Here is a 24,224-nt window from a genome sequence, read left to right on the forward strand (position 1 = left end):
TTAGAAAACAAAGTTGGCATGTGTATTAGTTTCCTAAGGCAGTGTAACAAAGTACCACAAACTCAGCAGCTTAAACAACAGAAGCCAATTGTCTCAGAGTTCTGGAAGCCAGAGGTCTGAAATCAAGATGTTGGTATGGCCACACACATTCTGGAATCTGTAGGGTAATCTTTACTTGCCTCTTCTAGCTTCTGATGGTTTGTTGGCAATTTTTGGTGTTCTTTGGCCTGCAGTTACATAACTCCAATTTCTGCCCTCATGACATCTTCCCTCCTGCATCTGTGTCTTCACATGGCTGTGCTGTCTTCCTATAAAGACATCAATCATATTGGATTAGGGCCCATCCTAATGACCTCCTTTTAACTTGATTACCTGTGTAAAAACCCAGGCTCTGAAGCCCAGAGGCAAAAGGACTACACCCAGGTCCACAGTGAGCTTGGATTTAAGCCAGGAATTCCTTTCAACTTTCAGCACATGTCTAGTTGAGAAGAAATAACTGGAGATAGAGTAGTTCCCCTTTATCCGCAGTGGATACATTCCAAGACCCCTAATGGATGCTTGAAACCTTGGATGGTGTCTGCCTTTGTTCATTTTCTGTTACTAGAATACCACAGACTGGAGAATTTATAAAGAACAGAAGTTTATTTGGCGCATGGTTCTGGAGGCTGGGAAGTCCAAAAGCATGGTGCAGGCATCTGGCAAGGATCACCTCATAGCAGGAAGCATCATATGGCAAGTGAGTGCAGGAGACACAGACAAGGGGCTCAAGTCCTTGGGTAACTAACCTACTCCTGAGATAATGGCAATCTATTTATGAGGGATCCACTGTCATGATCTAATCACTTCTCGTTTTTTCCCTTTTTGTGGAGAACAGGGTCTTGCTACATTGCCCAGACAGGTCTCCAACTTTTGGGCTCAAGCTGTCCTCTCACCACTGCCTCCCTAAGTGTTGGGATTATAGGCATGAGCCACTACACCCAGCTTCTTTCCAACTGTTTTTTTTTTTTCTCTCTGAGATGGAGCCTTGCTCTCTAGCCAGGCTGGAGTGCAGTGGTGCAATCTCACATCACTGCAACTTCCACCTCCCGGGTTCAAGCGATTCTCCTGCCTCAACCTCCCAAGCAGCCAGGACTACAGGTGCGCATCACCACACCCAGCTAATTTTTGCATTTTTAGTAGAGATGGGGTTTCACCATGTTGGCCAGGATGGTCTCGATCTCTTGACCTTGTGATCTGCCCACCTTGGCCTCCCAAAGTGTTGGGTTTACAGGTGTGAGCCACCACACCCAACCCAATTGTTTATTTTTCTAATCATTTCTTTAAGATCCCTCCTCTTAATACTGTAATAATGGCAATTACATTTCTTTTTAAAATTATTTTATTTTATTTATTGTTTTCTAATTTAATTTTAATTTTAGTCTTCTTTAGAGACAGGGTCTTGCTCTTTTACCTGGGCTGGACTGCAGTGGTATGATCATAGCTCACTGCAGCCCCAAACTCCTGGGGCTCAAGTGAGCCTCCTGCCTCAGCCTCCTGAGCTACTAGGACTACAGGCATGTGGCACCATGCCTGGCTAATTTTTGCATTTTTTTTTTGTAGAGAGGGGGTCTTACTATATTGCCCAGGCTGGCCAGGAACTCCTGGCCTCAAGCAATCCTCCTGCCTCAGCCTCCTAAAGCACTGGGATTGGAGGTGTGAGCTACCATGCCCAGCCATGGTAATTACATTTTGACATAAATTTGGTGGACATATTCAAATCATAGCAGTAACAAACCCTATATATATAGTACTATATATAAATTTCTCTATATACTTCTATATACATAATATATATGTCTTATACATATGTACCTATGATAAAGTTTAATTTATAAATCAGGTACTGTAAGAGATTAACAATAACAATAATTATAACAATGTACTGTCATAAAAGTATGTGAATGTGGTCTCTTTCCTCTCAAACTAGCTCGTCATACTGTACTCATCTATTTTCAGACAGCGGTTGACCGCTGATAAATATCTGAAACTGCAGAGTACAAAACTACTGAAAGTAAAACCGTGGTTAAGGGGGGAAACTGCCCACTGCCATAGCGGGCTGAATGAATTTTCAGGTTGTGGGGCTAAATCCCATGCTCACTGCTGCTTAGCTATGTAACATTGGGCCACCCAGGCCTCCCCTATGAGTCTCTGTTTTCTTGTGTGTAAAATGGGGAGTAATAGCACCCATATTGCAAGGTTATTTTGCAGCTCAAGGCAGTTGTAATGTAGCTGGCACTGAATAAATGGTAACTATGATTATTGTCATTATTGTGGTTATATTTACGGTCTTAACAAAAGACAAAAATTTTTTTTTTTTTCTTGTGCAATGGCACGATCTCGGCTCACCGCAACCTCTGCCTCCCAGGTTCAAGCGATTCTCCTGCTTCAGCCGTCCTAGTAGTTGGGATTACAAGCATGTACCATCATGCCCAGCTAGTTTTGTGTTTTTAGTAGAGACAGGGTTTCTCCACATTGGTCAGGCTGGTCTCGAACTCCCGACCTCAGGTGATCCGCCCTCCTCGGCCTCCCAAAGTGCTGGGATTACAGGCATGAGCCACCGTGCCTGGTCACAAAAGACAAATTTAAATCAATGAAAGAATTTTACTCTAACACTCTTTTTTTTGGGAGTGGCTGAATTCATAATCCGGGACTATATGAAGCTAACTTTTCTTTACATTGTTGGAATAATCAAGCATTCCTATGAAAGCCAGGGGAGCCAGTTTCATTAACCCATATTAGGCAGGGATATCTGGCTGGTGACAGCCATTCTTGAGTAATGGGTGATAAATACCACTTCCTTCTAAAGAGCTCTCAGGCAGCTCCCAGGCCTCATGCATTTTGAGAAGCAGTGTCCTCTATGTAATCGGCTGCGAGAAACATATTCCAAAGAGAAACATATGCTCCAGTAGTTACAGGGAAATTTTGCAATGCTGTCTTCTAAGAACAAATAAAGAGACAGATCTGAACCTGAGGGCCAGGCCACTTTGTTTGATGTGTTCAGATTTCATGCGACAAGAGGGAATAACTTCTAACAAAGTTACTTCTAACAAAGCATAAGTAACATGACCAGGAAACCTCAAATCCCTCTCCTGAGGTGTCCCAGAGGACTCAGAAAAAGTTAAAAGCAAGTTGTGTTCTTCGTATGGAAACACTCCTTTAATTGCCTCTGCAATTAATTAGTTCATTTCTTGCCAAATTGCAGTCAGACAAATGCCCACATCAGACTCTCCCCTCCCTGGTCTTGTTAGGTGTTTGGAGGAGGGAGGTTGCCCTGACAGCAAATGCGCCCCTCATTGTTAGTTTCAGCCACCATGTGAGTGGTTTTTACAGGTTTGTTTTTTTCTGTTTTTAGGAATATGGATGAGGCTGTCAATTTAAAAAGAAAAAGTCAGGCTCTAGCCCTCTGATTGGCTGTTGCTGTTCAAGCTGGCTATTTAGTTTTAGAGCTGATTCTCTGCTTCCTTAGATGGTGCATTCACAGGAAGCTTAGTTACATAATATGTAAGTTTCTAAAACAGGAGTCATCCCATTTACCAAGTGATGGAGAGGCCCAGGTTGGCCTTAGGTGGAGTCTCACTAGGCAGTTGCTACTTGGGATGACTTAAGAGGACCAGGGCCTTTATCCACTCCTCTCACCCCACTCATACCACCCCAGCAAGAAAAGTCTTTTTTTTTTTTTTTTAAATTAACTTGATCAACATGTTAGCAAGGACCATGGTAGTAAGGACCTTTCTCTCTAGGTACAAAAGAACTAAGAAGAGATACCTCTGTTCCTGTCACCCTCAGACTGTTCACTTCTTTGCTTTTCCTCCTCAAGGTCTCCACACTTGTGGATCTGGTTTCCTGCTCTGCTGGCTTTCAGTCTGGTGCACTCTAAGGAACAGCCTGAGGAGGCCCAACTGGTCTTCTTGCTTCCTCGAGTTGGTCATCCAAGTTTCTGGCGATAACTCTCGCTTCCCTGGTTCCCAGGACTGGGTTTCAGCTCCAGGGTCTCCAGGTCTCCCCACACAGTTGGAGTTTTCAAACTAGTCTCTTTGTTTCAAACTACTCTTTAGCCATACAGAAGTATGGGCTACATTATGGCTATCAAAAGGTTTTCCTCAAACATCACCATCACTGTCTTCATCATTTCCATCACAATTAACATTCATCATTATTTTGTGCCAGGTACTATAACACTCGCATTACATAGACAGTTACATTCAATACTCATAGCAATCCTGTGCAAGAGGTGCTTTTTCTTTCCTCATTTTGAAGATGAGAAAACAGAGGCTCAGAGAGGTTGCATTACACGATCAAAATCACACAGCAAGTAGGTGGTGAAGCTGATGCGTAAAGCCACACTCTCTGACTTCAGAACCTTTACCACTCCAATGTACTTTTCATATATTTTTCCACCTTACTCCCCTATTCAAAGATCCCTGGTTGGGCCTGTCACCTCCAGGATAAAGGGGCAGCTCCCCAGTGTGGCTGTCAATGGCAGTCTGAGCTGATGCAAGCCGTATGTTCCACCCAGGACAGGGGTAGGCCTCATGGCCTCCCTTGCTTTTCACGTTCTGACCATGTCCAAGGCCCAGCGTGCTGGTCATTTCCTCGGAAACACTATTTTCTGAATCTCCCACAAGTCATTTACAACACCCTCTTCCTTCCTGTAACTCTTCCGACCTCAACCTTTATCCCACGCTAGATTTGCTAAAAGCCATGTTTATTAAACAGGACACACTGTAAAGATTCTAATGGGAGGCACCTCTAGATTTTTTTAAGTTAAATTTTAATATTTTTCCAAATAAATATATGCAACTATTATTGTCTTTTAAAAGAGAAATATTGCTAAAAGACAGTATTAATCAGCAGCCTTGCTCCACATGAATCTTTTTCTCAGAGGCAATTACTTTCATCTTTAAAGCTATTTCTTCTCATTTTGAAAACATTTTATAAAACATGTTTATCCAGCTACCTCTTGATTCTCCAATTTTAACCATTTTTTCTTGACTTTCTATTATGATATGTCAAGATTTTAGCTCTTATATACTCCCACTTCCTTCAACATCCTGAAATAGTTTTATCACAATGTTTGGTTAAATTCACTTTCAATGTTTATATTATTGTGACTATAGTATATATCACATACTGCTAAGACAAATTTGGAATAGAAGTCTATTCCTATCTTTATATACCTTTTTTAGAGTTATTACTTGCTTTATTATTGCTATTTTTATTTGCTTGATTTTCTTAGGGTCTCTACATCTTTCTGTATCTTTTAACAGCTCATATTTCCACATGGTCAAACATGTCTGTTGAACTACCAGTTCTGCATGACACTTCCCGGAGAAAACGCTGTGGACTCTGAGGTCTGCTCTTCAGGATGCGGCAGACCTGTCATTGTCATTATCTACAGAATTCCTTTCACGTCTCTCCTTTGCTATATTAGCCGTTTCCTGGATCTTATATCTTTGTCTTTTTTTAGTTAATTCCCTTGTGTGTTAGTTTGCTCGGGCTGTCAAACAGTCAAACACAAGCTGTTTGACTTAAACAATATACATTTATTTTTTTCACAATTCTAGAGGCTGGAAGCCCAAGATCAAGGTGCCAGCAGGATTGGCTTATGGTGAGACCTCTTTCTTTGGCTTGGAGATGACACCTTCTTTCTGTGTCCTCACATGGACTCTTCTCTGGGTGAGTGGAGAAAAATACAGAGCTCTGCTGTCTCTTCCTCTTTTTATAAGGACACCAGTCCTATTAGATTAGGAATCTACCCATATGACCTCATTTGGCCTTAATTACCTCCTATAAGGCCCTGTCTCCAAACACAGTCACATTAGGGGTTAAGCTTCAACATGAATTTTAGGAGGACATCAGTCAGTCTGTAATACAATTTTTATGGTGTTTACCTGCTAAAGGGTACAAGGAAAGATTGCTTTTTGAGATGTCGCTTTATCTTTATCCTATCTTTATATTCCATAGACAATCTGGCTGCATACGGAATCTCAAGTGAAAAATTACTTTTCTTAAAAAAAATAGTTTGGCATAGTGTAGCAAGATTAAAAAGAACATCTTCTTTTATCCAGCACTTCCACTCCTAAGCATAAACCCTACAGACAAATTCTTACATGTATGTGCGAACACCTGTATAAAAGTATGCATAACTTACTGTGTAAGCAAGGCAGTAAATATGACTCATAGAATGCAAGTATAAAGCACTTTTTATTTTGTCTAACATTGTCTCTTTAAAATTTATTGGCCCTGGATGAAAGCTTGGGCAAGCTCATGGCTTTTCTGGTTATTCTTAGAGGCTAGAGAATACTACTGTTACTTTAAATCAGAGAAGAGAGTCCTAGTGCAAAAATTACAATGTTTAGTCCAATACATAAGCAATTTTTCAACCTTCACCCAAACATAATACTTTTCCATCCTCCAGGCCAACCCTCCATTTGGTGGTGGTGGTCTGGGGGAGGGAAGGGATTGGGGGTAGGGGGTGCATTTGGTTCCTCCAGCTGCCATATCTTCCAAGTGTCTCCTTGGGCAAAATTCAAAATGACTGCAGACCACCTCTTTGTCTCAAGAGCCACCTTTGGTTCATGAGAACATGAGAAACATTCATACATCCTCTGCCCCTATGTAGAAGAGGCCAGGATGATCTAGTGCAGTAGTCACTCTCCTTAGTCATCTGTGCATCCATCCATCCATCCATCCATCCATCCATCCATGCATCCATCCATCCATCCACCCACCCATCCACCCACCCATCCATCCATCCATCCATCCATCCATCCACCCATCCACTCACCTACCCATGTATTTATTCACCTACCCATTCATCCACCACCAACCCACCCATCCAGCCAGCCAGTCGCCCACCCATCCCAGCAACCACCTAACATCCATCCATTCTTCTAGGCATCTGTCTTGTCTGCTCCAGCATTTCTTGAGCCAGAGGCAAACAGTAGCTCTAAACTGCAGAGATCACAAAGGACTCTTTTGAGATCTCTCATAAAGCTTGAGGTGAGAGACAGGCATCCTCCTTCTGCCACTTATGGGGATGGTGACACAGTCATCATCACAACATCACTCTTCAAACAAAATCTCCTCCAAAAAGCCTCTTTCTTCCTTCAACTTTTACAAGAAAATGTTTATGTTTTCACATTTAACACAAAGAGGCCACATTTAAATAAACACATTAAGTCTTCAGACCACTTTGATTGCAGTTTTGAACCTCAGATATGACAAATTCTCATATCAATGTATCCCTAATTTCTTTTATAATTTATTTTTTACAAATTATGCCATAATAAAACTTGATAAGTGATTACTCATGTAAAATATTTCCTTTAACACTTTATAAGTTAATCAAGTGGATAGCCCAATAGATTTTAGTTGTTGCTTAAATAGGGAGTTCTCATGATTTTAGTATTATACAAGTTTAGCTGAGACTACACTCAGAAATAAGTTTAGAAAATAGCACTATAAAAGATGGGGAGTGACGAGTAAAATAACCCATACAGGATGCTATGCTGTAGGAAATTGGATGTTTTCACTGCTTCTGCAGTATCAAAGTGAGTAAAGGGTTCAAGAATCATGAAGCTGATTCCTTCCATTGTAAAGTCTATGTATGGCATTTGCTTTGGTATCTGAAGGTTATCATTCCCTGGTGCCTCAACAGAAACATGCAAGTTGACACGCTATTTATATTTTTGATATCAAAAGATTGGAAACAAACTTTATATCCATAAGTAAGAGACTACATAAATAAGTGATGCTATATCCATGCAAACCAAACATCCAATTATGCTAAATCCGTGAAGCACCATGCAACAGTGATAATGAACCAGGGCAATACTTATGAACAGGGATGAGTCTTACAAACAAAATTCTAAGGGGACAATTCCATATATTATATGTATTATAATAATTTTATATACATTAATATGTGCATCATTCTTTCTATATTTTAAAGTGCAAAATAATATTGCTTAGGAATACGTGGATATGTAGCAAAGTATAAGGAAATTTGAGGCATCATATACAATTAATAATGACCAGGATGGCAATATTTGCTTCTAGGAGGTGGGGAGAAGGATAGGACATGGAAAATATATTCAGAGGGTTTCAACTGTCTTGGTAATGTTTTACTTTTTGAGTTGAAAGATACTCGGTTTTCCATTGTATTATTCTTTATACCTTGTGATATATCCTTTTTTTTTTTTTTTTTTTTTTTTTTCTGACATGGAGTCTCACTCTGTAGCCCAGGCTGGAGTGTAGTGGCGCGATCTCGGCTCACTGCAAGCTCCGCCTCCCGGGTTCACGCCATTCTCCTGCCTCAGCCTCCCGAGTAGCAGGGACTACAGGCGCCCGCCACCACGCCCGGCTAATTTTTTTTGTATTTTTAGTAGAGACGGGGTTTCACCGTGTTAGCCAGGATGGTCTCGAGCTCCTGACGTCGTGATCCGCCAGACTCAGCCTCCCAAAGTGCTGGGATTACAGGCGTGAGCCACCGGCACCTTGTGATATATCTTAACTACTTCAGATTATGTTTGAATGAAATTACTTTTTTTCCTTCAAAATTTGAAGACTCTCATCCATTCACCAGTTTCCAATGTTGGTGGTAAGTAAGCTAAGGCCGTTTTCAGATCTGATTATTTTAGTGAGATCTATTGCCTTCCCCCCGCTTCCCAACTCTGGGAGCTATTAGAAGCATTGCTTTTTGAAACATTCTTTTTTTAGACACTGCTGGGCCCTTTCAGTATGGAACATAGACTCTTATATATGTATATATATTGTTGAAGAGATCACTCAAATTTCCTTTAATCATGGGAAATTTGAGTGATCTCTTTAATAATATCCTCCCTCCATTTTCTCTGCTCCTGTTTTCTCTAATTACAGTTATTTGGATGTTGGACTTCCTAGACTAATTCTCTAATTTTTATTTACTTTATTTCCAATTTTTGACCTATTTGTCTTTTCATTCTAAGGGATTTCTTCAAATGTATCCTTCAATCCTCTAGTGAATTTTTAAAATTTCTTCTATTACATTTTTAATTTTAAAGGTTAATTTTTCTTATTTTTCTGTCTCTACATTGTCATCCCTTCTTATTCCATGGATACAGCATCTTTTCATATCTCTTAGAACATTAAATGTAACATTCATATTTCTAATGTCTTTTCTATTCCTTGCATTGTGTCTGTTACGAGTTTTTTCTTTGTCTCCTCCTTTTTTTCTTCTCTTTCTTCTTGCCCCTTTCCTCCCCTTCTTTTTTTCTTTTCTCCTCCTCCTTCTTTTCCTTCTAGTTTTTGTTTAATTTCCTTTACAGTATAGGTTTTCATCAAATGTCTGTACATGCTTGGCAGACCATTTCTATGGAAGAGAGTGTGCTAAGAAGCTGAATGAAGATTTGTGTTTATGAGTTGAATGGCAGGTTTCACTATAGGGCAGCTGTTCTCAAAGTGTGGTCTGTGAACCCCTGAGAGTCACTGGGATCCCTTCAGAGGTCCACGGTGTCAAAACTATCTTCATAATAATATTGAGATGTTAATTTCCCTTTGCACTGGGTTGAAAATTGTAGTGATTATGCAAAAGCAATGATGGATATGATGGATAATTTCATGTGTCAAATTGGCACAGGGTGCTCAGGTATTTGGTCAAAAATTATTGTGAATGTTTCTGTGAGGGTGCTTTAGATTAAGATTTAAATCTGTGGACTTGAAAAAATTGTAGTAAAATATACATAATATGAAATCTACTCTCAACAAATTTTTAAGTGTACATTATAATATTGCTAACGGTATGTACATTGCTGTATAGCAGATCTCTAGGACTTTTTCATCTCGAGTGACTGAAACTATGTCTATTAAATAGCAACTCCTATTTCCGCCTCCCCTAACCTCTGGCAACCACCATTTTACTCTCTGCTTCTATGAATTTGACTACATTTAATTACCTCATAAAAGTGGAATCAGGTAGCATTTATCTTACTGTGATGAATGTTTTCATTAAGCATAATCTCCTTAAGTTTCATTCATGTTGTAGCACGTGACAGAATTTCTTTCTTTCTTTCTTAAGGGTGAATCTTATCCCACACACACACGTACACACACACACATATTCTTTATCCATTTATCCATTAATGAACCTTTAGGTTACTTCCACCACTTGGCTATTGGAAATAATGCTACAAAGAACAGGGGAATACAAATATCTCTTTGAGGCCCTGTTTTCAGTTGTGTTGTATATATGCCCAGAAGTGGGACTGATGGATCATATGGTAGTTCTATTTTTCCCTTTCTGAGGGAACTCCATACTGTTTTCCATAGTGACTAATACCATTTTATATTCCCAACAGCAGTGCACAAGAATTCTAATTTCTCCATATTCTAACCAACATTTGTCATTTTCTCTTTTGTTTTTGTTTTTGATAATTGGCCATTCTAGCATGTTGCTGTCTAGTATCCTTGAATTTCAACTTCATGAATTTTCTTTACTGTTTCTTGTAAGGCAGGTATAATGGTAAGGCACTCTTTCAGCTTTTGTTTACCTGGAAAAGTGTTTCTCCTTATTTATTTATTTATTTATTTATTTTGAAACGGAGTTGTGCTCTGTCACCCAGGCTGGAGTGCAGTGGCACCATCTTGGCTCACTGCAAGCTCTGCCTCCCGGGTTCACACCATTCTCCTGCCTCAGCCTCCTGAATAGCTGGGACTACAGGTGCCCACCACCACACCTGGCTAATTTTTTTTTTTTTTTTGTATTTTTAGTAGAGATGGGGTTTCACCATGTTAGCCAGGATGGTCTCGATCTCCTGACGTCGTGATCCACCCACCTCGGCCTCCCAAAGTGCTGGGATTACAGGCGTGAGCCACCGCGTCCAGCCCTCCTTCATTTTTGAAGAAAAGTTTTGCTGGATACAATATTCAGGGTGGACAGGATATTTTTCCTTTTGGCACTTTCACTATATCATCCCATGCACTTCTGAATTACAAGGTTTCTGCTGAGAAATTTGCTGATAGTTTTACGCAGACTCTGTTTTATGAGGCATGTCACTTTTCTTTTGCTGCCTTCATAATTGTCTCTTTGTCTCTGACTTTTGAACATTTGGTTATAATGTGTTTGGGTGATAGACCTTTTTGGATTCATCATTTGGAATCCGTTGGGTTTCTTAAATCTGATGTTCAGTTACTTCCCCAGACTTAGGAAGTTTTCAGCCATTATTTCTTAGGATAAGCTTTCTGCCTCTTCCTTTCTCTCTCTATTCTTCTTGTTCTGGAACATTCATAATGTATTTTTTTTTAATGGTGTTCCATAATTCCCTTAGGCTTTCTTAATTCTTTTTTCTTTTTGTTCTTCTGACTGGATAATTTCAAATGACCTGTCTTTGAGTTTGCTTTTTTTTTTTTTTGCATGATCAATTCTGACATTGAATCCTCTAGTGAATTTTTTAGTTCAGTTATTTTATCATGTAGTTCCAAAATATGTAATTCTTTTTTATATTTTCTGTCTTTCTCGATTTTCTATTTTGTTCATGTATCATTTTCCTGAGCTCACTGAGTATCTTTATGATGGTTATTTTGAATTATTTTTCAGGTAATTCACATATCTCTTTCTTTTTTCTTTCTTTCTTTTTTTGAGATGGAGTCTCACTCTGTCACCCAGGCTGGAGTACAGTGGCATGATCTTGGCTCACTGCAACCCTCTTCCTCCTGGGTTCAAGCAATTCTCCTGTCCCAGCCTTCCAAGTAGCTGGGCTTACAGGCTCACGCCACCATGCCCGGCTAATTTTTGTATTTTTAGTAGAGACAGGGTTTCACCATGTTGGCAAGGCTGGTCTCAAACTCCTGACTTCAGGTGGTCTGCCCACCTTGGCCTCCCAAAGTGCTGGGATTATAGGCGTGAGCCACCACGCCTGGACACATATCTCTTTTCTTTAGGGTCAGTTTTTAAAGATTTACTTTTTTTTTCTCTTTTGGGCCATGCTTCTTTGTTTCTTTTTATACCTCATAACTTTGTGTTGGGAATTATGCATTTAAAAAAACAGACACACCTTCCAGTCTTTAGTAACTGGCTTTGTAAAGAGAAATGTCTTTACCAAGCAGCCTGGTGTGACATTCTGAAGTGTCTCAAACATTTTCTGTGGAGACATCTTCTCTGGACTTACACATGTTAATTACCAATTAGAGAGATTTGCTGTTTTCTTTTTTTTAGCACTCATAATATCTTGCTTTCCCTGGCGTCTGTTTGTGGTATTGCAGGTTCTCTGGATCTCTTTTTAGCCTCCTGGCTTATTTTCCCTCAGAACTTTCCAGGCTTCTAGAGCATGTCAGATCCTGTCAGTGCTTTGAGTTGTACAGGACAAAAGCTGTTTTTTTTCAGAAGCCTCGACCACCAGCCCCACCAAAACTGTACTAGTGGATGCATGCTCAATTATTCTCCCCTCCCTCCAACCCCCAAGGAAGAGGTCACCAAGGCTACGTCTGTTAAACCGCTGGTCCTCTGGCTATGTCTATTATATTGCTAGCTCTCTTTTGTTCTTATTTGCCCCCAGACACCTAGAGTATGCCAGGCTCTGTCAGCACTCCAAAACAGGTGAGAAATAGATCAGTCTCTTAGCCTCCCAAATGGACAGAATGTTGGACACACACTTCAACTGTTTCTCCAGGAAGAAGCCAGGAGCTGGGAGTTTCCCCCAGTCATGGCATGCTAAGCTGGAGAGAGGAGCTTAGGCAGGTGAGTGCTATGCATTTTTCTATAGTTCTGATGCAGCTGGTTTTGTGCTTGCTGGAGGTACAGGAACCTCTTCACTGTTTTTGAGATTTCTCACAAAGGGAATTGGTTTATGTATTTTTGTTGATTTGGTGTCTGTAAGGGAAACAAGGATTTTGGGCTTCCTATTCTGACATTTTGCTGGCCTAAATTAGTGGACTTTGAGTAGTGCAGATTGCTCTCCATAACGTGGGTGGGCCTCATCCAATCAGTTGAAGGACTGAATAGAACAAAAAGACTAACTTACCCTAAGCAAGAGAGATAATTTTTTGGCAGACTGCCTTTGGGCTTCAACTGCAACAGCAGCTCTTCTTGATTCTACAGCAGACTGCCTTCAGACTGGAGCTCAGCATTGGCTCTATTTTGGACTTGTTGGCTTCCATAGTAAGCCAACTTTTTATAATATGGTGTGTGTGTGTGTGTGTGTGTGTGTGTGTGTGTGTGTATGTCCCATTGGTTCTGTTTCTCTGGAGAACGTGGAGTAATACAATGGCTAAAACTACTGGTACAAATCAAGGCACTATGCTATACTAATATTTTTGAATTCTTTATTGCCACACATTGAAAATAAAAATAAAATGCCAGTTTCACTTGGGAATGTTCTTCATGAAGCAGAAAATATATTGGTTTTATTAAATCTTGAGTAAATATCTTTTTAATAGTCTGCAACAATGGAAAATACGTATAAAGCACTGTTGCTGCAGGTGAAATATGATGGTTGACTCAAGGAAAAACACTCTTGTACTGAATTGGCAAGTGGAACTAGCTACTTTTTTTCTTGGAATTCCATTTTTTTTTTGAAAGAATAACTGGAAGAATAACTATTCAGACCTGGGTATTTGGCAGACATTATCTTGAAAATGAGTGAAGTTAGCTTACCACTTGAAGAAAAATGACTGACAGTATTTTTCGCCCATGATAAAATTCAAGCTTTAAAACAGAAATTAAAATTTTGAAAATTGTGTTTGTCAGAGGGAGATTGTTATCTTATGAATACTTAAGCTTTTCTGATGAGATCAGCAGTAATAATAATGACTGACATTTGATATTGTAGAATCAAATGTGTTAACATGTTGGAAAATCTGCATGATTCTGTGAACCAGTACAAAATCACATATTGGTAAAAGACTTATTCAAAATACCAGAAGGGCCAATGGATTTTAACACAGCAGAAGACAAAAAGTTTAACAATAAGGTTTCAGATAACGCACAGCAACTAACCTTTAAGAAACTATTACTTGTGCACTTTTGATGTGGTATTAAAGAAATATATCTGCAATTGTTTGAAAACTATTGAAATATTCCTCTTCTCCAGCTACACAGCTCTGTAGTCTTCACATGCTTCAGCCCAACAGTACATCACAACCTATCGAATGCAGGAGCAAATAGGACAATTTAGGTTTATTATTAAGCCAAACCCTTAAGAGACTTGCAAATTTTAAAACAATGCCACTCTCTTCACTAATGTTTTTCTGTTTTGGATAAAAGTTATTTTTAATAAAAATGTTATTTATGCATATAATGGGTTTGTTATTGTTATTTTATAGTGAATTAATCAGTATTAAAAACATTTGGTTTTAGTTTCTAAATATTGGTGGATACAACTCACATAAACAAAATCTCTCTGCAGACTTCAATACATTTTAAAAATATTAAGGGGGAGGGGCCAGGCTCGGTAGCTCATGCCTGTAATTCCAGCACTTTGGGAGGCCGAGGTGGGTGGATCACTTGAGGTCAGGAGCTCAAGACCAGCCTGACCAACATGGTAAAACCTTGTCTCATACTAAAAATATACAAAAAATTAGCCGGGCGTGGTGGTGCATGCCTGTAATCCCGGCTACCTGGGAGGCTGAGGCAGGAGAATTACTTGAACCCAGGAGGCGGAAGTTACAGTGAGCCACGTTCACGCCACTGCACTCCAGCCTGAGCACCAAGAGTTAAACTCCACCTCAAAAAATAAATAAATATAATAAAAATAAAAAATGAAAATATTAAGGGGTCTTGAGGCCAGACGTTTTGCTGCAGGGTGATGTGACTGGGCTGTTTCACTAGAGGGGCTCAATTGCTGGTGTTCATGTGTCTTTTGTCTTGGGCTATGTGGATTACCGTGAATCTGGGAGAGGTGCCCTTCCCTGCCGCTTGGAGCTGTGCTTGGCCACGTGACTTGCTTTGGCTTTTGGAATGTAGAGCCAAGCCTTTCCATGTTTTTGTGGGTGTCCTTTAGTTTGCCCTTTTGTTCTTTGTTATCCAGCATAAGAATATGAGACAAGCAGCCACTGGCCCCTAATGAGGAGATTCATGAAGACCTTAACCCAGCCTTCAGTCTGGAGCCTCCTTGAGCCTAGATGGGCTAAGCTGAACCCCAGCCAACCTGCAGGCTCACAAGTATGAAAAATAAATGTTTGTGATGGTAAGCCAGTGAGAGTTGGGACTATTACCCAGCCTTATTGCAATGGAAGCCTTGTTCATACAGCGTTCCAGAGAGGACTTCTATAATCTCCTGCCTCAGGTGGGTGTGGGTGGGTGTGTAGGGATAACGCTGGCTGTGGGCTTTTCTCACAGCTGAGTGGGGGAAGAGGATTTAAAGGGGTCGGGGTGAGGGGGGGAGGTGGCATCATCATGGAGCATGTGGACTTTTCACCTAATCCTCTAGCGTTGAGTATGATCCTTCTACTCACACCTGTGCCCGGTGGCCCAGATTTTAAGTCCCTTTGATTGGACATCTAGAGAAAGTCAACCTCCAGGGCTGCCAGAAGTGCAGCTGATAAACTCTGCTTAGTTTGATGAAATGTGCTATTAAAAATCTGATGAAGGTGCAGGATCTGCAATGCCTTTTGGACCTGTGGACGCTCACAATCGATACTTCATTCCTTGTTATGGCTGGATGATAGTTTATTTTGTGGACATACCACTCACTGTTTATCTATTCAACAATTGATGGACAAAGTGACCTTTAAAAATAGTAAATCTGATCATGTCACCCCCTTTCACAAAATTCTCCAGTATACCAGTAACAAAATTCTCATGGCCAGCCAGGCCTTGCAAAACTGGCCTCTGTCCACCGTTCTTCCCTCCTTTATCACGTCTATCCCCTTGGCTCATTATATTACCAATCACACTGGTCTTTTGTTCGCTTCCTTGAAAATCCCAAGTTTAGTCTTACCTCAGGGCTTTTGTGCTTGAATTTTCTTCTGACCAGGGTGCTCTTCCTTCAAATAGCTGCTCCTTTCCTATCCTCCCTGTCATTGCCTCTGTGAGGCCTTTCTACATTCTCTACTCAAAGTATTCCACACATCCTTCAACATTTCCTTTCTAACCCTCATTACTGCCCACTATCACCTAGTATTTCTATTTGTTCTCTTGTTCATGGTCTTTCTCCTTCCTCTGCAATGTAAGCTTCAAGAGGGCAGGTGCTAGCTGACACCTTTACTGCTCTATCCCTGGACATGGGGTAGACCTGGCACAAAGTGAGTGCTAAGTCTGCGTTCAATGAATGGATGGATTTAAGGTTATTTTTATATATTCCAGTCCTGTAAAAAATTCTTGAATTACTACTTTTATCACTTCCTGCAATAAGCAGAATAATGCCTCCTTTCAAGATGTCTATGCCATAGTCCCCAGAACCTGTATGTTACTTTACATGGCACAGCGACTTTGCAGATGTGACAGAGATTACAGACACTGAAATTGGGAGATTATCCTGAATTATCTGGGAAGGCCAAATCTAATCATATGTGCCCTTAAAAGTAAAGATGCATTTCCAGCTGAGACTTGTTAGAGAGATTTGTTGCAACATAAGAAAGGTCAAAGAGATGTGATATTGCTGGCTTTGAAGATGAAGGAAGGGACCATAAACCAAGGAATGTGGGTGGCCTCTAGAAGCAGAAAAGTCAAGGGAACAGTTTCTCCCCTAGAGCTTCCAGACAAAATGCAGCTACCTGCCGCTGGATTTTAGCCCAGCGAGACTTAGGTTGTACTTCTGATGTCCAGGACCGTAAGTTAATAAACTGGGACTGTGTTAAGGAACAAGAGTGTGGAAATTTGTAATGGCAACAGTAAGAAACTAATATGTGACCTTGCCTCTGTTTTCTCTTTTCTTTCCTTCTTAGATATTTGAATGAATTTGAGTCAGAATTTACTTGAATTTTCCCAGTGGTGACTAGTTTAAGCTTTCAGTCAGAATTTTAAGAGAGAGCTCTAGTTCAATTCTAGAAAAGTAAACAAAATTCGATTTTGCCCACCTGACTTGTGGCCTGGCAAATACATATGCACCATGCATGGTTCTAGGATTCTTAGTATGTCATTGAAACTCTGCTTAGTTTATTGAATGTGCTATTAAGAATCTGATGAAGGTGCAGGGCCTGCAACACCTTTTGAACCTGTGAACTCTCAGAATTGATACCATCATTGATCCTTATTTAAAAATCCATGCGTGGGTTTGAGAAGCATGTAAACCACGTAAGCTTTCCCTGCCATCGTAGGCTTTTGTATCTCATTGCTACCCTCCTGGTCGCAGCCACCTTCCCTCAGATGAGTGCCCTCCCTGGCTTCTGATGCATTTGTAGTGCCATCAGCTACTTTAGACATCTGGGTTCCAACTTTGAGAGCTCTTCTCTGGTGGGTCCCAAAGTAGCAGGCACTTGGCCGCTTCCTCTGCCCCACTCTCTGTCCCAGCAGAACAGCGAGATGGCATTTCTATCTTTCCCTGCGCTATTCACCCGGTCACACATTCAACAGCTATTTAACAAGAGGCACAAGGTTCTAGGCATTGTTACTGGTATAGGAGGATCAGAAATGAAGAAGTCTGACCACAAACAAATACAGAAGTCAACATGTAGCATGTCAGCTGAGCAAAAGTGTGATGGAGAGAAGAAGAAAGCAGAGTAAGGAGAACATGGACGGGGCTCCTGGTTCAGATCGGTGGTTGGGGAAGGCCTCACTGAGGAGGTAACATTTGAGCGGAAGCATGAAGGAGGTGAGGGAGTGAGCCAGGAGGCTGTCTGGAGGAAGGGCATCCTAGGAAGAAGGAGCAAGTGCAAAGGCCTTGAGGCAGGATTCCACCAGGTGTGTTTGGGAACAGCAAAGGAAGACAGTCCCTAGAGGGATGAGTGAGGGGAAGTTAAGAGAAGGTAAAAGCACAGAGAGGTAAGAGGTGATCTCATGAGCACAGGCTTTGTGGGCTGCAGCAAGGACTTGACCGGCTTTTCCGCTGAGACTGGAGCCCCTGGAGGATTAGAGCAAAGGAGAGGCCTGAGTCTTTGGAAGTGTTGCTCCAGCACTGTGCTGAGCATAGGAACAGCGGGAAGAGTGGAAGCAGGGAGATCCGTTAGGGAAGGGTTGTAGACAGGATGAGCACCTGGATCAGGATCATGGTGGGAGGACATGCTGGGATACTGTAAACATTTTAAAAAACTATCATGGAAAATTTAAAACATAAAAGCAAAGAGAATAGTAAAATGAAACTGTGAGTAACCATCACTCGACTTCCACAATAATCAACTCAGGATCATCTTGTTTCCTTGCTACCCACCCTGTTTCTGTATTATTTTAAAGCAAATTCAAGACATCTGAGGATTCCATCTGTAAATATGTTAATAAGTGTCTCTAAAAGAGGTCATCTCATTACCTCCATACCATTATTGTACTAACAAGAAGCAACAAGAATTCCTCAAGATCTCCAAATATCTAGCCAATGTTTGAAAGTCAAGCCAATGGAACTTTCCGGTACATTGGATCTGGGATTGAGAGAAAGAGAGGGGTCCAGGATGTCAAAAATTTAGGGCCTGACAACCGTAAAATTGTCTTACATTTACTGAGATAAGAGAGACTGTAGGAAGAGCAGGTTTTGGGGCTAGGGGTGGATAGGAATTTGCGTTTAGGCATTTTGTGACTTGCAGTACAGGTCTGGCTGTGTAACAAGAACCACCAATGGATTAAATTAAAATTTTCTCCCCCTGTAATGTAACAATTCTGAGAATAAAGCTATGCAAGGATGGTTCAGTGGCTACGGTGCTAGGGACTCGATCTCCTATTTTGTTGCTCTTCTATCCTTAAAAGAGCTTCTATCATGGCCTCCAATGGAAGGTTGAGCTCCACCCTAACTTCTACGGGAAAGAGAGAAGGATAAATGAAGGGGATACGTCTTTTCTTTAAAGGCAAGACCTGAATGTCACAGGTGCCACTTCTTCTCATGTCCCATTGGCCAAAACTCACATGGCCACATGTAGCAAGGGAGTAAATACGGTCTTTAGCTAAGTAGCCATATTCTTAGCTAAAACTCAGAGGGTCTACACTAATGGAAGAAGGGGAGATTGGATGCTTGGAAGCAGCTACCAAAAGTTAAGTTTGAGAGGCTAATGGGCATTCACATAGAGCTGTTGAGTTCATCATGGGTCTGGAGGTGGGCTCCAGTTGGGGATGTTTATCAGAGAGTTACCAGCATAAAGATGGCATTTCAATCCCAGAGATGGCCTGCTGGGCCTGAGTCAGGCCAGAGCCCCTCAGGAGCCCCTCAGAGCCTGTGGGTGGAGGGGAGCGCTATTTTGCCTCTCCCTCTCCTGAAGCCTTGGCAGCCCAGGTGAGAAGATGAAAGGTGCTGTCAGGCTTGCTAAGTAAGGTTAGGGGGCCGCTGTGACCTCCAGTGCTGAAGGATAGGCCGGATCCATCAGCCCTGCTGGGCCAAGGCCCCACCTTTTTCTGTGTGTGTGGACCCCAGCACAGACACTTCTTGGTTTGTCAGTGGAGAGCACGCTCCTTCTCCCCTCTGCCCCTAGAAGCTGCAGGAGCTAAGAGCTCACTGCTGGGCAGCCCCACCTGGAGTGTCTTATCTTTCATCGCCTTGGAGTGGTTGTGTTGGCTACCCTCCTTTCTTGATCTGATTGAAATGAATGGGCCAAGTAGCAAAATATCCATGATTGCCCTCCCAGGATGAGGACCTGCGCTTTGGAAGGCCTCTTCTCATCCTAGGGGCAGCGACTGTGACACTGACTCTACCCACACTCACTGCTGCGTCATGGTCCTGGGAGTTTTTGCTGACTCTCTCACCCTGAGACGCATGGTATTCTGTAGGGTTTGCCTCATCTGTTCTCCACTGTCTTCCCTATTCTCACATCATAGCCCCGGCTAATACCTAACACCTCGAATTCTCTCTGTTTCCTGCCAACACTGACCTTTCTCACTGCCTGGAAACACCCCCACCTGCGTGCTCCATGGGTGTCTTGAACTCTGTATGTTCAAAACTAACTTTTCTGTCTTCACCCCAAAGCCAGTGTGCCTCCTCATGTTCCCAAGCTAAGACAGTTAGTGTCCCAAACTGAAAACTGTCCCCATTTGAAACTCCTTTTTGTCCCTCACCCCTCCCTCTCATATCTAATCAATTGCAAAGTCTAGCCATTTCTACTCCAACAATAACCTTAAATCCACTTTATGTTACCCATCGCTGCCATTCCTGCCTTGGTTAAGGCACTATCACATTTGTCTCTAACCACCTCCTTGCTGGTCTCCCTGCCGCCCTTAGACTCCCACAGACCCTTCCAGAGTGATTTTTCTAAGCACCAGAGCTGTTATGCCCCTGCCTAATGCCCTTGTCCCTTTTTCCCCACCAGCCTGACTCCCCCTCACTGTGCCCTGGGTTGCAGTCACACAAGGCTGCCACAGTTCCCTGAGCAGCCAAAACCTTCATGCTTCTTCCTCCATGTCCTTTCCCATTCTCTAGACTCAGCCAGACACCGCCTTTCTTGAGAAGTCATCTGAGTTCCCTGAAGAACACTCTTTCCTTCCTCTTCCTTCCCACACCCCCCCTTTTCTCTTTTACCTTGGTACTCATGGTGCCACGCTGAGATTGTTAACAAGCCTGACTGCCGCTGGATTGCAGGACACCTCAGGGGCACGGCCCCTTGTCACATTTAGTTTTGCTCCCTACCAAGTACCTGGTCCTTAGTAAATGTTCCTACCATATGGAAAGAAAGACAAAAAGAAGGGCTCAGTGGAGATTTTCTACTCAACCTGGTTGTGCTGGATTTTTAATGTCTGCCTCCTCAGCAGGCATCCCCACTTCATGTAACTATGGCTCCTGGTATCTAGGGGGGTACCCTCTCCTCCTGTCTGGGAACGCAATGCTCTGGGGGCAGCTCACGTTCAGGCTTAAACAGAGCCAATCAGCACAGCACATTCCTGTGGCTTTGGTGAATCACTCCCTCCCCCGTGCTTCACTTTTCATCTTTTAAGAAGGTTCTCTTTCCTGCTGGACTTGAACCAGGGGAGATGTAAGTCTGGGGCTGCTCTCACCTTCTTGCCGCTGTGTGGAGCCTGCAAATGACAGTGATTCCTGGAGGGGAGCAGAGCTGAGCACATAGGTATGGAGAAGGTGAGGCCTGGTTCCTGAGTGGTTTACCCCTGGACTTTTCAGAAAACAGAAATATAGTAGGTTGAAGACTGACCTCTTTCAAAAAATTCATGTTCACCTGGAGCCTCAGAATGTTATCTTATTTGGAAATAGTTTTTGCTTTTTTTTTTTTCCAGACATAATTAAGGTAAGGATCAAGACGAGATCACACTGGAAAAGGTGGGCCCTAAATCCAGTGAGAGGATAGGAAGGCCAGCACTCTTATTCTGTCCTAATAAGAGACAGAGACGGGCACACAGAGACACAGAAGAAGGCCATGTGTTGATGGAGGCAGAGACTGGAGTGATGCCGTCCCAAGCCAGGGAGTGCCTGGCTCCGCCAGGCACTGGAAGAGGCACTGAATGGATGCTTCTCGAGAGCCTTTGGAGGGAGCATGACCCTGCTGACACCTTGATTTTGCACTTCTGGCTTCTGGAACTATGAGAGGGTAAATTTTTATGGCAGCCCTAGAAGACGAGTCCCAGAGCCAATAAAGATCCCTCTTCCCCTGATTTTGTAAAAATTTTAAGCCATTTTGAGTTTTTTTTCCCCTTTTGCAGGAGTCCTCTGTGGTAAACTGGTGGAGTCCAAAGCAATTGTGTTTGACAAATAAAACCGAATGATCTGGGTGATGAAAACGTAATAGCAAAAGACCAATCCTGAAGAATCCTCAGGGCCCGGGTGAGGAGGGAGGTGAAGCTCCAGCTCTGCTGTACCTAAAGTCTGACAAATAAAAGTCCTGAGAATGGAGGAGGTCTGGATGTAAATGTCTTGTCTCCAGGTCTAATATAAACTACTTTTGAATGAACTTGGGAAGAGTTGACATCTCAACCCTCCATGAGGTGTGAGAGGCAGAGTGAGGTCCTGCGTTGTCACCTTTAATATCTGAGTTTCCACATAAAAAGAAATGCATGAGTTTGGCTCCCCTGCATGCCATCCTGAGCACACATGGTATTTCTTATTGAAGTGCTGGGATGGGGAGCTTAGTTGTCCCTGTCTCCTAGACCACTATCATGCAACAGGAGCATAACATGAACCACATAGATCATTTCCAGCTTTTTGGCAATCTCATTAAAAGTTAAAATGAGGCCGGGTGCGGTGGCTCATGCCTGTCATCCCTGCACTTTGGGAGGCTGAGGCAGGTGGATCACCTGAGGTCAGGAGTTCATGACCAGTCTGGCCAACATGGTGAAACCCTATCTCTACTAAAAATACAAAAAATTCGCCGGGTGTGGTGGTGGGCACCTGTAATCCCAGCTACTCAGGAGGCTGAGGCAGGAGAATCGCTTGAACCTGAGAGGCGGAGGTTGCAGTGAGCCGAGGTGGTGCCACTGCACTCCAGCCTGGGTGACAAGAGTGAAACTTCGTCTCAAAAAAATAAAAATAAAAATAAAAAAAAAAGGTAAAATGAAACAGGTAAAATTAATTTTAGTAATATATTTTATTTAACCTAATATATCCAGCAGGCTATCATTTCAATGTGTGATCAATATAAAAGTTATTAATGGAATATTTATCATTGTTTTATGGACAGGGGTCTCTACCAGCTGAGCATGCCCATGTTCTGTGTGCCTTAGCACCAGCCTGTGGTTATCAGCGGAGGGATTTACGAATTTTACTCGAGGCTCTCACACCCTCCACTCCAGTTCCTGCATCCAGTTTCCATGAGGCCTCTTTCATTTTGGATCTGCCTGTCATCCACATTTCTCCATCAAGCCTCAACACCCCACCCTTTAAAAATAACATTTCAAATCGTTCTTTCGTGCAGCATGAGATTTTTGAGCTATGATTCACTTCAAATTTCAGCAGGGCTTAAGCGCTTTAATTTCCTTTAAAATATTGTTGGGAGAAAAGTCAAATAGCCCAGTGGAAAAATGTGCAAAGGCTATTAACAAGCAATTTACATACAAGGAGACACATTTGAGCATCATAAAAAATGCTCAGACTCCCTAGCAGCTGGGAAAGTCTAAATCAAGGCAACACTTTTTCCTACAAATGGGAGTTTGATACTGTTCAGTGTTGGTGAGGGTGTGGAGAAGTGGGTAAACCATGGGTGGGAGTGTTGTTTCCAACAAATTTCTAGAGAACAAATTTGGCAGCATCTAGAAAGCTAAAAATGTCCACACCCTATGGCCAGCAGTTCTCCTTCCCATCTTCCTCAGAGAAGTTGTCTCACGTGCACACCAGGAAGCAAATGGGAGAATTTTTAAAACAGTACTGGGGGTAATAGAAGAAATTTGGAATTACCTAAATGTCCTTCAATAGAGGAACATATAAATACATCATGATAGACTCACATGAATAACTATGACATACCAATTAAAAAGAACGAGATAGATCTACATGTACTTATACAGAAAGAACTCTAAAGTTACACGGCTGAGGGTGAAAAAACAACTTGCAAAATAATACAAAGAATATGGTACTATTTATATAAATAGGTTACACTAAACAATACTAATATACTTTTATGGGTAATCACGCATATGTTTGTAATGATAGAGGGAAGCTTTGGGAAGGAGACACACTAAATTGATGACAGTGAATTCTCATGGGGAGACACAAAGAAAAGTGGGGCCGGGCGCAGCGGCTCATGCCTGTAATCCGAGCACTTTGGGAGGCCGAAGTGGGCAGATCACGAGATCAGGAGATCAAGACCATCCTGGCTAACACGGTGAAATCCCATCTCTACTAAATATAAAAAAAAAATTAGCTGAGCGTGGTGGCACATGCCTGTAATCCCAGCTACTCAGGAGGCTGAGGCAGGAGAATCGCTTGAACCCAGGAGGTGGAGGTTGCAGTGAGCTGAGATCACACCACTGCACTCCAGCCTGGGCGACAGTGTGAGACTCTGTCTCAGAAATAAAAGAAAAGTGGGTTTAAGTGTGGTGGCCAGAGGAGACATCAGCTTCATGTGCAGTGTAAAAATAGTTAGGGGAATATTCACGTATTACTTGTCAACTTTAAAATTAATGGAAAACACGGGTGTGAGAGCACCTCCTCCCCATTCCTGGCAATGAGAAGCAGAGGCAAATTTTTCTATTAATACTT

At 42.0% G+C, this 24,224-nt stretch overlaps 1 long non-coding RNA gene across 1 annotated transcript; it reads left to right on the plus strand.

Annotated features, from left to right (window-relative positions):
• Positions 1-158: 158 nt before the first annotated feature.
• On the plus strand, positions 159-21,923 carry LOC105377742 (uncharacterized). The gene is made up of 5 exons (XR_941265.3): positions 159-736; positions 5,604-5,715; positions 15,042-15,299; positions 21,311-21,621; positions 21,734-21,923. It is a non-coding gene; the product is annotated as an uncharacterized LOC105377742 (long non-coding RNA).
• Positions 21,924-24,224: the final 2,301 nt, after the last annotated feature.

This window comes from Homo sapiens, chromosome 5, assembly GCF_000001405.40.
Source record: "Homo sapiens chromosome 5, GRCh38.p14 Primary Assembly".
Classification (NCBI taxonomy): domain Eukaryota; kingdom Metazoa; phylum Chordata; class Mammalia; order Primates; family Hominidae; genus Homo; species Homo sapiens.